The sequence below is a fragment of the Homo sapiens genome, chromosome 9, assembly GCF_000001405.40.
Source record: "Homo sapiens chromosome 9, GRCh38.p14 Primary Assembly".
Taxonomy (NCBI): Eukaryota; Metazoa; Chordata; class Mammalia; order Primates; family Hominidae; genus Homo; species Homo sapiens.
Window position 1 is genome coordinate 108,950,998 of NC_000009.12, and position 15,092 is coordinate 108,966,089.

Here is a 15,092-nt window from a genome sequence, read left to right on the forward strand (position 1 = left end):
GGGGTGCTATTTATTTATTTATTTATTTTTGAGATGGAGTCTCACCCTGTCACCCAGGCTGGAGTGCAAGTGGCGCGATCTCAGCTCACTCCAAGCTCCACCTCCCGGTTTCACGCCATTCTCCTGCCTCAGCCTCCCGAGTAGCTGGGATTACAGGCGCCCGCCACCACGCCCGGCTAACTTTTTTTTTTTTTTTTTAAGTAGACACCGGGTTTCAGTGTGTTAACCAGGATGGTCTCGATCTCCTGACCTCGTGATCCGCCCACCTCGGCCTCCCAAAGTGCTGGGATTACAGGCGTGAGCCACCATGCCCGGCAGGGGGTGCTATTTATTGAGTCCCAAATCCCACACAGTTGTAGAGATCCTTCACTACTTTAATTGAGCTTCAGTCTCTAGAATACTGAAGCAACCTGCAGGTGTGTCCCACGGTGGATAACCTTTCCAAAATCAGAATGAGTAGGACAGGAGCCAGAAAACTGGAGATATCAAGTATTTCCCAGGTTTCCAAAAATGAAAAAGATAGATTTCAGAAACTGAGTGAAAAGCTTGAAGTTATTCCTTGAGAAAATTCTAGAAGGGATTTTTGAGCAGATAACTGATTTTAACTAAGCAGAATTACTATACCTTATGTATAAATTACTAAAATGGAAGACTGAAATATGACTAACATTGACATCAACAAGGCATTTGATCAAGAGTCTTGTAATATGATCAAGACAGAGAATATAGGTCAGATAACATTAAAGTTAGGGGAATTCTCTACATAATGAATGGTGACTCACAGAGATTTGGCACGCTATTGACATAGTCCTCATAGCTCTATTCTTTGATCTGTGTCTAATCAATCTTCATCTGTATCTAGTCAATCACTGTATAAAGGCATAAAAGACATGTTTTCTTAACGTACTGATGCTGGCTGGGAGAGGCATTAACAATGCAGGATAACAAAAAAGCAGGATGTAAAATTATTTCAATGATGGAAAGAGTGGGCAGAAACCTAGCAGAAGATCCCTTCTAAATCTAAATCCTAATTAAATACATGTGTCTTGTTGTTGCATTCACTTACGTAAATTGTCATAGTAACTACTTTTAGTCTTTTTACCATATATTTGATACCGACTTTAACCTGTCAATGATTTAACATGGAACTTTTTTCTTTACACCAGATATCATTATACTGATTTAAAAAATAAAAATACAACTACATTTACCTAGTAAATAAATACAGAGAATAGGCCATACTGGACATGTTCCGTCCATATTGAACAATCTCATTCTCCTGATCTTCCCACTTCTCAATTTCGCAGTCAGCGTCAGAGGTGAGCAAACCCAGCTTAAGTCCAAGCTTTGCTATCTTGGCTTGCTCCTATGAAACAGACGTTTTAATCACAACGACTTTATCACTATTCATGTTAAAGGAAGATTAGATGTAGGAATTGGTCTTACCTCAGAGTCAGGCTTGTCTGGCTTTAATGATTTCAGGTTTGCATTATTCTTCTGTGACAATAAAAAGATTAAGATTATCTTAAAAAGCAGTACATTAAACTGTAAGGAAATACAATAGTAATACAAAGCATAACAAAGTACTTGTAACAAAAGTTTAAAATATTCAGTATGTAATGACTGAATATTTTACCAATTGCAAGTACTCTACTAGTAAGTGAGTTCAGCTTTGAATAGGTTGTTAGTTTGAAATCTGGAGCCAGAGAAAGCAAGTCAGTGCCTTCCCTGCTCTGTGGCCTCTGTGCTTACAGCTGCTCTCCTCTTTTCACAAGGGCTTCCAGGGACTCAAGACAACTTCTGCAGTATTCCTGGAGTCCAATTATTATGTCCCCCAAACCTCCCTGGCTTCTCTGTTCAACAAGATTCTTATAATGCTTGAATTATTCTTATGAAATGATATATTAAAATTAGCCACTATATGTAGTTTTCTATACATTCCTTATGTTATGACTCCAGAATTCAATTCCTTTAACTAATTTGCTCTTGGAAGGCTAAATTTCAACTCTCTAGCTTCATAGATATCACAACTGCTAATCTCATATCCCAAGTTATAAAGAGATTATACTTAGGATTCTGAATTTAATATGTGAACCAATGTTCAATGGTTCCCTATTTTTGAAAGAGAAAGTTTGTTTTCATGTAAACTATCTGGAACTCAGAGTGTATTTTCCCTAGAAGGGGAGAAAATATTCCATCCTAGTTAGACCAGGCTAGTCCACTGATGCCTGTATACTTGAAGAATAGAGTACCAGGACAAATCACACCACCACCAATAGCAACATTTCTTTGAAAAATATATTCCGAAGTTCTCTGGAGATGATAGCCCACAGAGGGGATTCCTCCAACTCTGAGATCTGGTGAAAGCTCCCATGGTAGAGGCAGGAGTCCCAGAACAGCTAGGGTTTGTAGAGAAAAGGGGGCCAACTTTTTACAATGGAAACATATATTTAAGTCATACACACTCACAAACACACATTGGGTATGGATTCACATACCTGCACACACAGTATAAATTACAATAAAACAAAACACTCATGTGTACACTTAGCTTAGGAAGGAAAATCATCACTAATACTTTAAGGAAAAAGATCTTCTCATACATATATTTTTATTTCCCTTATTACCATGACTTTTTACTTCTGACCAACTATTCTGTCACCAGTTTCACCACAGAACAAAACAGCCTCGTGGAGTTTAGATCTGCTCATGGAACATAGCCCTTTTGAGATTTTCTAATGATGTTTACTATTAAAGAAACAGGTGAAGTTGAAGGACAGAAAATAAAAATAAAGGAACTCTTGTTACACACACATGCACACACACAGAGAGAAAGAGACAAAGACAGAGAGAGAGAGAATAAACAAATATGACCAATGATCTCTCTGGCTCCTCCTTGAATGGTCACATCATCTTTATCTCCATCCTTGGTCTAGTTGACTATAAGGCAACTGATAAAACATTTAAGAAAGTAAGGAACACCCTCAAGGTTTTTAGGTTTAGTTTTATTCAGAATTTTATACTTTATATTATTCTTTTAAATATAGTTGCATTTTCATGATTTTTATTTTTACTTTTACTAATGATGATGATTATTAAAGTTTAATGACGACTGAAATGGAATTGCCTGAAAAGGTAAATAAACCATCTTAATAATGTAACCAAGCTTGCCATCTAGTGGACACTATTTTGGAATGCAGTCAGATTCATTCGTTTCAGTTATATAAAGCTAAAAGACGTCAGTCCCCTAAATATAAATAGCACCAGACTCCAACTTCACTTCCTAAAAGAGAGAACTATAATTTTCTAGGAATATAATTAGCTATGCTATCCCTCAACTAAGAAAATGGTTCATGACTCTGAAATGATTTGTTACTAAAGATAAAAAATACTATTCAGTTGAATAAAATCTTTGTTCCATTCAACCTGTTAAAAGCTTTGTGATGCCTTTTCTAATTCTCAAAAAATTATTTTGTAGTAGCCCTAAATTATAGCACTTACAAAAACAGTGAGTCTATCCTTACTTGCTTAAACCCAGTAGGATATTAGCTATAAAACCATCTGTTAGGGTTATCTTAAAATAACAAAAATAGACAAATTGCTATTTGTACTTTCAAACTGTTCTGACAATAGCTTAAGGCACAAAAACTGTTTTTTTTAAGTCACAGAATTAATTTGCAGTATCATGATCGCTTTTACACCAGCTACATTCAGTTCCTAATGTTGTATTTCAGTATTAAATGCCAGTCCCTTTTCAAAAAGTACACTAATTAAGTTTGGACCATTTTTTGATTTGGGGATTTGATTTATCATTTGTTCTTCCCCTACACCATCAAGCATTCCCACTATCATTTCTAAAATTCCAGACTTAAGACTTTAATATCTCTCTTCATTGCAAGTTCTCTCTTCTGATACTCACCATCTGTTGTTCTTCACCACACTGTTACTATTGATAATCATCAGTAATTTTATTTTTTTTTTTTTTGAGACAGTCTTACTCTGTTGGCCAGGCTGGAGTGCAGTGGCACGATCTTGGCTCACTGCAACCTCCATCTCCCAGGCTCAAGCAATTCTCCTGACTCACCCTCCCGAGTAGCTGGGATTACAGGCCTCTGCCACCACGCCTGGCTAATTTTTTTTGTTGTTGTTGTTTTGTTTTTGTATTTTTAGTAGAGACACGGTTTCACCATGTTGGCCAGGCTGGTCTCAAACTCTTGACCTCAGGTAATCCACCCACCTCGGCCTCCCAAAGTGCTGGGATTACAGGCATAAGACACCGTGCCCAGCCCACAATTTCCAATATTTTTGTCCCCCAAAAGGGATCTTGGGACCACTACTTGGTTAATATACCACTCTGTATCTCTTTCCCATAAGTATGACATGTGACATGTTTTCATCTAGGTAGAAAGCATATGAAAGTCCTTAGTTTGCTGAAAGTGATTCCAACATGACTTCTCAAAGTAGATCCAAGATTGGAAGAACAAAACAACTTCTGACTTCAGATATGGCTTATTTATTTATTTTTATGATGCTATTACTGGGATATGGCTTTTTATTAATCACAAATTATGTTACCTATTCTCTCAAACCCCCAAACCTAAAACAAATATTCAGAGTGTAAGCCACAACTAGATTGCTACCCAGAATAACAACTCTGAAGTCAACATTAATATCCTAACTTTTTTCTGTCATGTCAATTATTTGTGGTAGAGGGGAGCAGCAACAGGCAACAAGAGCATAATTTGAATTCTGAATAAAAACATTCTGCAATGTACATAATTCTTCTACTTACCATTGGCTTTGGAAGTGAAAGGTAGCCATACTTCTCTCCTACAAATAACACATATAACTTAAAAAATTTTTTCTATTAATATATTTTTCTATTATTCATAGTTAACTTTTAAAGTATTAATTAAACAAACAGGAATGTTAGTACATTAGTTTTGATAACAGTCTATTCATTACATAAAATTCAGAAATAAAATTGTAATTTGGCTGGTGAACATGAAGACTTTCAACAGCTGCATGTCTAAGGTACCTATGCTGGTCAATCTCCACCTCTCCCAACATTAAGGGAGAAAGGCAAATGTCCCACTGACATTTACTGCCACTTGCAATCAGCTTCATTCACAGAGTGCTCCTTTTACAGCAGTTTGCCTCTAATGAAACCTGATTCCTCTTTTATCAGTACCAGTATCAGCGCTTCTTCCATTTCTGCAAGTACCAGACCAAATAATTTACAACTAACCTCATAATGTATTCTCTCAGTCAGGGAAGAAGAAAACCCTCTGTACAAGATAGGAAGATGAAATAAAGCAAATAACAGGAGGTTTTTTGACTGTGAATTGACACGTCACATGAAGCATGATAACGAGGAAAGGAAGGAGACGGGCAATGCCCACATCATCCCTGCCCCATCTATCATCTTTACAACTTCCAGGTCATGTATACAGTCAGATTACAATGAATAATAGACTTTTTATAAATGCTGGTTTGTGACATCTGAGGTAAAAATTCAAGACCTAAGCAGTAATTGCTTCTTGAAGAAAAATTTCTTCTTCAAGGAAAACAAGTATATTCAGCTATAATAGAATAGTTTGAACCATATGAAATTGCTGGTATTCAACCATTTTGAAATTTCATATGGTCCAAACTAATAAAAGTAAACATAATATAAGAGCACTAAATCATACCTTTTCTCATAGAATGACTATTACAGGAAATGGGCAAACCTGTTTGTCTCAGAATGGCTTATACAAATATTTAAAATTTCATCTAGAACTGTACTATTAAATATGAAACCTACTAGCCACATGTGACTACTTAGCACTTGAAATGTGGCTAGTCTGTACTGAGATGTGTACATCTAGTCTGTACTGAGATGTGCTAGTCTGTACTGAGATGTGTAAGTGTATTAAACACTTACAAGTGTTTAATACATAACAGATTTTGAAGATGTAGTACAAAGGGAGAAAAAATATATAAAATATATTAATTTAAAATATTGATTATATACTAAAATATTGATTATATGTTTACATGGTATTTTGGATATTTGGGTTAAAAATTATTAAAACAAATTTCATGTTTCTTTTTAATTTTTCTTGTGCCTGTTAGAATTTTTTTTTTTTTTTTTTTTGAGACAGGGTCTTGCTCTGTCACCCAGGCTGGAGTGTAGTGGTGGAGATCACAGGCTTACTGCAGCCTCAACCTCCTGGGCTCCGGTGGTCCTCCCACCTTCCACCTCCTGAGTAGCTGGGACCACAGGCATGTGACACCAGCTAATTTATTTGTATTTTTTTTAAGAGATGAGGTCTCACTGTGTTGCCCAGGATGGTCTCAAACTCCTTGGGCTCAAGTGATCTTCCCGCCTTGGCCTGCCAAAGTGCTGAAATTACAGGCATGAGCCACTGTGCCTAGCCTAGGAAATTTCAAATTATATATGTGTGTCACGTTCTGTTTCTCTTGGACAGTGCTGATCTAGAAGAAGAACTGTTACTAAGAGTGAGTTAATGGTACTTGGGAATAGCTTTATGATTCAAATCATTTCCTTGTAATGTCAAAATTGTAAGGGAATTTTATTAATTAATGGCTTTCTGATTTCAGAATGGTGAGGGGAAAAAACTTAAAAAGGAAGAGGCTATTTTCATGCCTTGGCTCTAAGCTCTGATGTGAAAAGTGCTCGATTTAGTTGCAATATTAACAGAAGATAGTCTTCCGGTCACTCAGAATTTCAAAATTCACCATCTATCTTAATTCAAAGTCTGAATCCTGTCCATAATATCCTTTAAAAAGTGCTCTTAGCATATTATAAAGGGCACATTAAACAGAAGTAGGAACCCGGGCATGGTGGCTCATGCCTGTAATCTTGGCACTTTGGGAGGCTAAGGCAAGTGGATCACCCAAGGTCAGGAATTCAAGACCAGCCTGGCCAAAATGGTGACACCCCATCTCTACTAAAAATACAAAAATTAGCCAGGCGTAGTGGTGCATGCCTGTAGTCTGTTCTTTTTTCTGTTTTTTGTTTTGTTTTGTTTCAGCCTGGGTGATAGAGCAAGACTGTCTCAAAAAAAAAAAAAAAAAAAAACAAAGTGGGAAAGTACTAAAAATAAATAAATAATAAAGAAAAAAGAATTTTGAATTTTGAAAGGGCACTATCATTACTTAAATGTCATCAGCTACAGGAGTAATCTTGTATTATCTAACTTAGTAATCATCTATAGTGCCCATGGCCCTAAAATGTTCATATTTACTCTCCACAAGTTGGGGCAAAACCAACTGTTTCGGTATCTCTTATATCTCTAAGATACCACAGAGTTAAAGCAAGTAGAATGTATAAATAAATGCATTGAGAAATAAATCCAATGAAAAGAAAGCTTTTATGTAACCTGATTTGCTACTATTTTCATCCACCTAGTAGTATTTATCACTTGATAGTTCTAATCCCTCTGGTCCTCTTACAGATACTTTGTTTTGCTTCCTATTCCCATCCTTTAGTTAGACTCTGCATGATTTATACGAATTTGAGGATAATTGCAAAATTGATCATTTTTTCAGATAGGCCTCCTCCACATACTATGCAGGTAAGATTCTTCCTCTTTCCCCCAGTTCCAACAGAAACCAAACAAGTTGACAATAACACAAGAAAAAGCAATCTAATACTAACAAGAGATCTAAATTATAGTTAATTATAGATGTTATTTCCCAATTTTTTTATAGATGTTATTTCCCACTTCTTTTTTTTTTGAGACAGAGTCTCACTCTGTCACCCAGGCTAAAGTGCAGTGGTGCAATCTCGGCTCACTGCAACCTCCACCTCCTGGGTTCAAGCGATTCTCGTGCCTCAGCCTCCTGAGTAGCTGAGTAGCTGGGACTACAGGTGCACACCACCACGCTCGGCTAATTATAGATGTTATTTCCATGTGAATCTAATTATTGCCGTTGATTCTAAGCAGAAAAAAAAAAAAAAAGAATAAACTGGCTCAGCCAGGCACGGTGGCTCATGTTCATAATCCCAGCACTTTGGGAGGCCAATGCGGGAGGGTTACTTGAGGCCAGGAGTTGAAGACCAGCCTGAGTAGGCTGGGCATGGTGGCTCATGCCTGTAATCCCAGCTCTTTGGGAGGCTGAGGCAGGCAGATTATGAGGTCAGGAGATCGAGACCATCCTGGCTAACACGGTGAAACCCTGTCTCTACTAAAAATACAAAAAAAAAAAATTAGCCGGGTGTGGTGGTGGGCGCCTGTAGTCCCAGTTACTTGGGAGGCTGAGGCAGGAGAATGGCATGAACCCGGGAGGCAGAGCTTGCAGTGAGCTGAGATCACGCCACTGCACTCCAGCCTGGGTGACAGAGCGAGACTCCATATCAAAAAAAAAAAAAAAAAAAAAAAGACCAGCCTGGGTATCACAGCGAGACTCCCATCTCTGGGGGAAAAAAATTAAAAAATCTGGGCATGGTGGCCAGCACCTGTAGTTCTAGATATGTGGGAGGATCCCTTGAACCCAGGAGTTTGAGGCTGCAGTAAGCTATGATCACACCACTGCACACCAGCCTGGGTGACAAAGTGAGACCCTGTCTCCAAAATATAATAATAATAATAAAATAAACTGGCTAAATTATGTTTAGCTGTTATATCAAAGAAGTAGCATAAACAAAACTCTATCATATTATAAACATTAAAAATAGTTGGAAAAACAGGACTATTTGGAGAAAATATACTTAGTACAGATCTGATATATAGAATTGTCTTCAAAGCACTGTCCTCAACGAGGTATTGTATGTTTAATACTCCCTAAATCCTGTTTAGTCAACACTACAATTGTGCCATCTTCTGAGTTTATACCTTCAGATAAATTAAGTTCACAATTAAGTTTAAAGGCCCTCTCATCTTAAGGGAGCACTAAAATTATTTCTTATGAAAACCTAATTGAGAAATGTTCTCAGTTACAATATATAGAGCCTTTCTGTATATCTACAAAATAAATCGAATTCCCCAAGAATGGAAAAGCCTTATCATTTCACTGAAAATGTGCTAAATTATCCCTGATTCACATTTCTTATAATTAGCTATCTTTAGTTCTGGAGGCACTCTATATGGTATGATCAATCAAAAAATTAATGTCCCCAGACCCACTTAAAATGAATCCCTGACCACTAAAGCATAGGCAGCTTATCAGCTAAACTCAGGAGCAGGAATGAGGTATTCTAATCTAAACCCAGCTATCATCCTCCAACTCCTCCCTCTCCCTCACCTCTATATTCAATTGACCAATAAACCCTACCAATATTAGTTTTTAAATTCTTCTTAGTCCCCTTATCTTCATCTTGACTATCATCACCCTAGTATAGACCATCGTCTCTTCTCTGGATAGATCACTCCCTTGTTGCAGGCTCCTACCATCCCCAAACAAACTCATCTTTACCCACGAACATGTTTATCTTCCTGTACCCCCATTTTTAGTGGCATCCAATCTGCCAAACGATAATGTAAATGCAGGGCTATGAAATAGGGCTGCCAGGAAAATGAGAAAAGTAGTTACAGAACTGAAAACCAAATTAAGATTCTTGGCACGATTGTGATCATAACTGCCCTACATAGTTTAGTTAGAGCTGCATCTCTATAAACTGAAGCGTAGTCATATTTACTCTGAAATGATTGAAATAGAACAAAGGGAATTCAGCTTCCTTAAAGGAAGGATAGAGACCGCAAGCTCTGAGATAAGGCTTTTTTCTGACACTTATTATCCAAAATAATCTCAAATTCTAAACTGACACATATTCACCACTAAGGAAAAGTGGAGTCTTTTAGGTGTGGTCCCTTCTAATACAAGGACCACAGCCTCCCTGGAGGTTTGGGTGAGAAGGCAGAATGGGATGAAAGCAGAAGACAGGAAGACAAGTATTGATTTTTACCTTCTTGAAACAATCCCAGGAGGTCCTAGTGTGAAATTTCAGTGTCTGGGGTTAAGGTGGACAATGACCTAGGTCTCAGACTAACTTTTAGCATGTGAACACTAAAGCCTCCCTCCTATTGCTTAGCGTGATGTTTACCACTTAGTTGGATGGTTGAATGATACTTACAAGTATGCCTGGTAGTTTGCCAATCACAGGAGGCAAGTTATGCAGAGCAGAACTAAGGTGGCTAGAATACAGCAAAGGCTTTTCAACAATAGTCATAACAGGAGTCATAACAGCAGCAAAGAGAAATCAGGACCTGAAGAATACACCTTTGTATGGAAAGCAGTGGGCAGGTGCAAGGTAATGAGCAGGTTTGTCACATCAACCATGCATAACAGGAAGAACAACACTGTGGCACTGGATTCAGTTCAGTCAGAATGGTTAACCCAGAGATGGACTTCTTTGAGGAAAAAGCTATGCTCATGAGGTTCATGATAAAAATCAGGACAAATAAAGGCAGTACACACAATCAACCAACTCCATCTCAGTGAAACCTACATAAACCCTTCCTGAACAGAGAGGCACTTTCCCAGTGAAACAATAAGTGTCTCATTGACTGAAGGCTGAGGCGTTTCCCACGTAAGAAGGAATTTCTGTTCAGTCCTTAGGAAGTTTGGGTAATGCTGATTTTTTTTAACATAAGTTAACTGAACCTAAAGAAGAGATTATTTACATAATATCCAGCTTGAAAGTAAAAGAAACCACAGTGCTCACATAGTCTGAAAACAGGCATAGGATGTGCAAGCAGTATTACACATTATTTCATTTACATCCATTGAAATAAAGAAACAAACTCAAAAGGGCAGGTAATGTGCCCAGGATTCCATTACTAACAGATTGTTTTACCTCTTCTGTAATTTAGCTGGCCCCATCCTCAGCCAATAAGTGGACCAACCAAAACAAGAATACAGTCATTACTTGTTCCTTGCCCTGTACTTCCTGGGATCTCTCAGTCATTTCTGAAATAGCTTTGGGAGGGAAAAAAGCAGAACTCAGAGCTGCAGTTGTGAGCATTTTTCACAGAATTGGTTCATTCTCATTAGAAAACTTTAGGATTGGAGTGGAGTTTAACTGCTTGAGTAATAGAGTATGGGTAGTTAATAAAATTTCATCTTTGGCATCATTCAAACCTCAGTAAGGGTCCCAGCTCCTATAGTTTACTCACTGTGGGATACTTCGAGCCTCAGTTTCATCATTCATAAAATGTGGAAATAATACCTGTCTCCAGGGTTACTGAGAGGATTAAATGAGAAAATGGACATCCAGCACTTATGAAAGTACCTGGAACCCAGTACATTCTCAAGAGATGGCAGCTACTATTATTTTTATGGTTATAATAGTCACGGGCCTCTGAAGGATCATGTTTACAATTTTACCCACAAAGACCCTAGTAGCCTGTGGCTTTTACTTTTCCTTAAACTTCCCTAGCTATTTTTTTTAAAGAGCCTAACTTTGGTAGAAGAAAGGCAAATCTCAGAGACAGAAAAGGAGAACACTGAATTAATGTTGCATTAGATGTCCGGTGAGAGGAATCTTTCAGAGGGTGTCAGTTCACCATTGGAGAAGGGATGAGCTTCATTTGTACAAAGAAGCAAGGAGTTTACCTTTGCTTCTGCAGATCTAGAGGTTTTCTACGGTGGGGCCAGACTGGCTAGTCCTCCCTAGAGTAGGAGAAAGGACATAGGGAGAGATGGATGCCAGAAAGTAGGAGAGATTGAGATTAAGTAAGAGAAATTGGACCTAATGTTTTCTCATAAACTATTTAGTTTTACCACAAGGTAACAGTGGTCATGATGCTGATGCTGATAGAGGTAACACTTGTTGAGAATTTACTGTGAATTAACTTATTTTATTTAATCTTCACACTTACCATATTAGGTAGTTTTGTCATCATTATCCCCATTTTGCAGATGTAAAACTTGAAGCATAGAGAGATTAAGTTAGGAAATAGCAGAGGCAGGATTGGAACCTAGGCAGTCCACTTCAGAACCTGTATTTCAACTTCTACCCAATTCTATCCCTAACATGAGATTAGCACTCAGATCTCAGAGGAAGGAAGAGACCCCTTGATGGAAAATGCAACTTGGGTTTGTTTTCTGTTTTAAGGAAAAAAATTACTTATATTTATAGAAAGAAAACCCCCTTGCCAAGCTTATCAACCTCTAATTGCTACCGTAATTGCTACTCAGAACATCGCCTGGGATTAAGGCAGAGAATAACTGTTAAATGACTGCTATCTTTCTTGAGAGGGGGGAAAAGCCTGTTATAACTCCTCTTCTTATGGAAATAAAAGAGAGAAGAAAATAGACCAAAATGCTGGTAGAACAGCCCGATTTAGAAACTGCGAGCATCTCAAACACAAAGAGGAAGGGGGCTCAGGCCCTTGGTCAAGAAAACTAGAACCATATCCATTTCAGATGATGATGAACTCACTGGCCTAGGGACATGGAAGAAGTACAAGTAATGAAAACTCAGCCATAGCCCATGTTTACAAGAATGAAAACACAAACCTCTTCAGCACTGAAAACACTATAGGAGATACCTGTACTAAGCTCAATGGTGTTCTGGTAAAGAGGAGAATCAGCTGGCCAGGATTGATGCCATATTCTTTCCAGAATGGCTGCAGCTATTAGTAAAGCTTCTCACAGTGCACGTGGAACACGTTTACAAGTACATAAAGTCAGTCACATGCCAGAAAAATAGCCATCCTGTGGCACTCCTCCAGCCTCCCTACTGGGCTGATGTCATGGGCTGATGACAACTGATAAAGCCAGAAGACAATATTCCTCTGGCCTTTAAAGAGAGCCAGCCAGGATAAAGACACAGTGCAGGGTATATTCATGCCCAGAAGTCGAAAGTACACTAACTTCAGGTAGTGCTCACAAAAGACTTTTAGAGCTGACAGGTCACTGAGATCACTGAGCCTAAGACTTTCATTATTGAGTCAAGGACACTTGGGCCCGGAGCAGGGAAAAGCTTGCCTAACACCAGTTTGAGAAAGACCTGGGCCTTACAGATACTCCAGGATAACCCACACCAGGTATCTTATCACAACAGCAAGCCACTTCTCTTCATTTCCCAACAGTCCCTAAGGCTAAGTGACCACTCTTCTTTTTAAAAGTGGATCAATTATATCATTTACCTTTTAATATCCAAAATTTGGCTCATATGAAAATCTATGTAACTATAAATACAAAGCATCAAAATGATTTGCCATTCAGACTATCACAGAAATTTTTAAATGTGGAAGCATGGTAAACATTTATCATACTTTACAAATGATGTTATAGCTATAATTCTATTATGCCCTGATTTTTAAGCAAATTAACATTTATCCTAAATGAGTATTTTTAAAATATGAAATGTTTAAATGGGCATACTCAATAAAAAATATGTAATTTGATATAATTGTAAATGACATTTTATTTAAAAAAATAAGCAAGCTTTGACACTACAGAAGCCATTTGAAGAGAAAAAATATAAACATGTAAATATAAATAACAGGACACACAGTACAATGGAAAATAAACAAAACTTCCACTCGGTATTAAAATAAAGAATAAAAATGATGCCTTCCTATACATTGTATGGCACTATTCTACATGTTGTAGAAATACCAATGAACTTACCCACCACAGGCAATATTCCAAGATTATGTAGTCATCAAGGAAAGAGATTCCATCCAAGTGGAAGGAAAGCAATTCAAAAATCAAATAACTACATTCATTTCATTATGAAGTTAGTAGAATTAAAACATAGAATTACTGCATTATAGAAGAGCTGTTGTATTATAATTAAAAAACAATTCAGAAGAAATTTAAAAATGACTATTTCAATAGGAAAACTAGGATGTTAATATTAATTCAGAGATCTACTATGCTGTTTGTTTTATTTATTTATTTATTTATTTATTTATTTATTTTTTGAGACAGAGTCTTGCTCTGTCGCCCAGGCTGGACTGCAGTGGCGCCATCTCAGCTCACTGCAACCTCCGCCTCCCGGGTTCAAGTGATTCTCGTGCCTCAGCCGTAGTATCTGGGATTACAGGCGCACATCAACACATTCGGCTAATTTTTGTATTTTTAGTAGAGACAGGGTTTCACCATGTTGGCCAGGTTGGGCTCGAACTCCTGGCTTCAAAGTGATCCACCTGCCTTGGCCTCCCAAAGCGCTGGGATTACAGGTGTGAGCCGCCACACCTGGCCTACTACACTGTTGTACAACAAACTTTACTGCTTGGATACTAAAATAAAGGAGGATAAAATAATATTTTTGTAATTTTTTTGTGAACAATATTTTACTACAAAAATAACCCAGCTGGGTTACGACAAGAATTCATTTGCAGTTGAGGTTTGGCATTAAAAAACTAACAAGAGTTACATTAAAATAATAACATATTTCATTATGTGGACAGTTTCTCACCTCGTCTTCCTTCAAACACGTCATTGATTTCTCTCAGCAGTGTTGACATGTCACTAATTTGGGATTCCCAAGCTTCACAAAATACATCTAGGTTTTCTTTAGCAATTTTACTAGATGGATGCAATGTCAATGTTTCAGCAGCAGAAATTATCTAAAGAAACACAATATACACCTGTGTGAATTTCAAAATCTTAGCCCTCAGAATCACTTTGAAGACCAAAGGTAAGTAAGTCTGCTGTTCAATTCAACTCAATAAACAACTATGAAGTAATTTCTATACACAAGCTCCATGTTGGGCAATATGAAGATGCACAGTAGGACAAAATTTGCTGTTTCTTATAATCTGACCTGCAGACAAATAGTATGCATTATTATATACAAACCTGCATTCAGGGAGCAATTCTCTTCACTCAAGTAAAACTCTGTTTGAACAAAGTTGTTCCCATAGAATAATTCAAACAGTTATACTCAGACCACAAAAAGTGTACTGTATACAGAGTAGCAAAGGTAGCAGTAATAGTGGTGGTGGTAGTAGCAGTGGTAATAGTAGGAATGGTAGTGATAATAATAAGTAACATATATACACACCCATGAGTACTTGGTAGATACATGCTTGAGATACTGTTTGGTGTTTGAGATACATTAATACATTAATATCCCCCAAAATATACAAATAAAATACTACTTTTTCCAAATAAGCATTATTCCATTT

The 15,092-nt window shown here is 37.5% G+C and overlaps 1 protein-coding gene across 5 annotated transcripts in view, besides 1 other annotated feature; it reads right to left on the bottom strand.

Moving 5' to 3' along the window:
* Nucleotides 1-15,092, bottom strand: part of CTNNAL1 (catenin alpha like 1) — a 70,923-nt gene that overhangs the window by 8,421 nt on the left and 47,410 nt on the right. For 4 of the 5 annotated variants that reach the window (XM_017015250.3, XM_005252291.5, NM_003798.4 and 1 more), the window contains 4 exons: nucleotides 14,381-14,531; nucleotides 4,793-4,830; nucleotides 1,447-1,497; nucleotides 1,212-1,366 (listed from right to left, as the gene is read on the bottom strand). In XM_017015250.3, the coding sequence (XP_016870739.1) occupies nucleotides 1,212-1,366; nucleotides 1,447-1,497; nucleotides 4,793-4,830; nucleotides 14,381-14,531 (395 nt within the window). Of the gene's footprint in view, nucleotides 1-782; nucleotides 870-1,211; nucleotides 1,367-1,446; nucleotides 1,498-4,792; nucleotides 4,831-14,380; nucleotides 14,532-15,092 lie in introns of all 5 variants that reach the window. The other variant, XR_007061368.1, reaches the window with a different exon arrangement.
* Nucleotides 679-1,878: an enhancer, noted in NCBI's record as "CDK7 strongly-dependent group 2 enhancer chr9:111713956-111715155 (GRCh37/hg19 assembly coordinates)". NCBI's record gives its function as "activates an origin of replication core promoter dependent on BRD2, BRD4, P300/CBP, MED14 and CDK7 cofactors, with strong dependence on CDK7, by STARR-seq in HCT116 cells {active_cell/tissue: HCT116}" and the evidence as "EXISTENCE:reporter gene assay evidence [ECO:0000049][PMID:35650434]".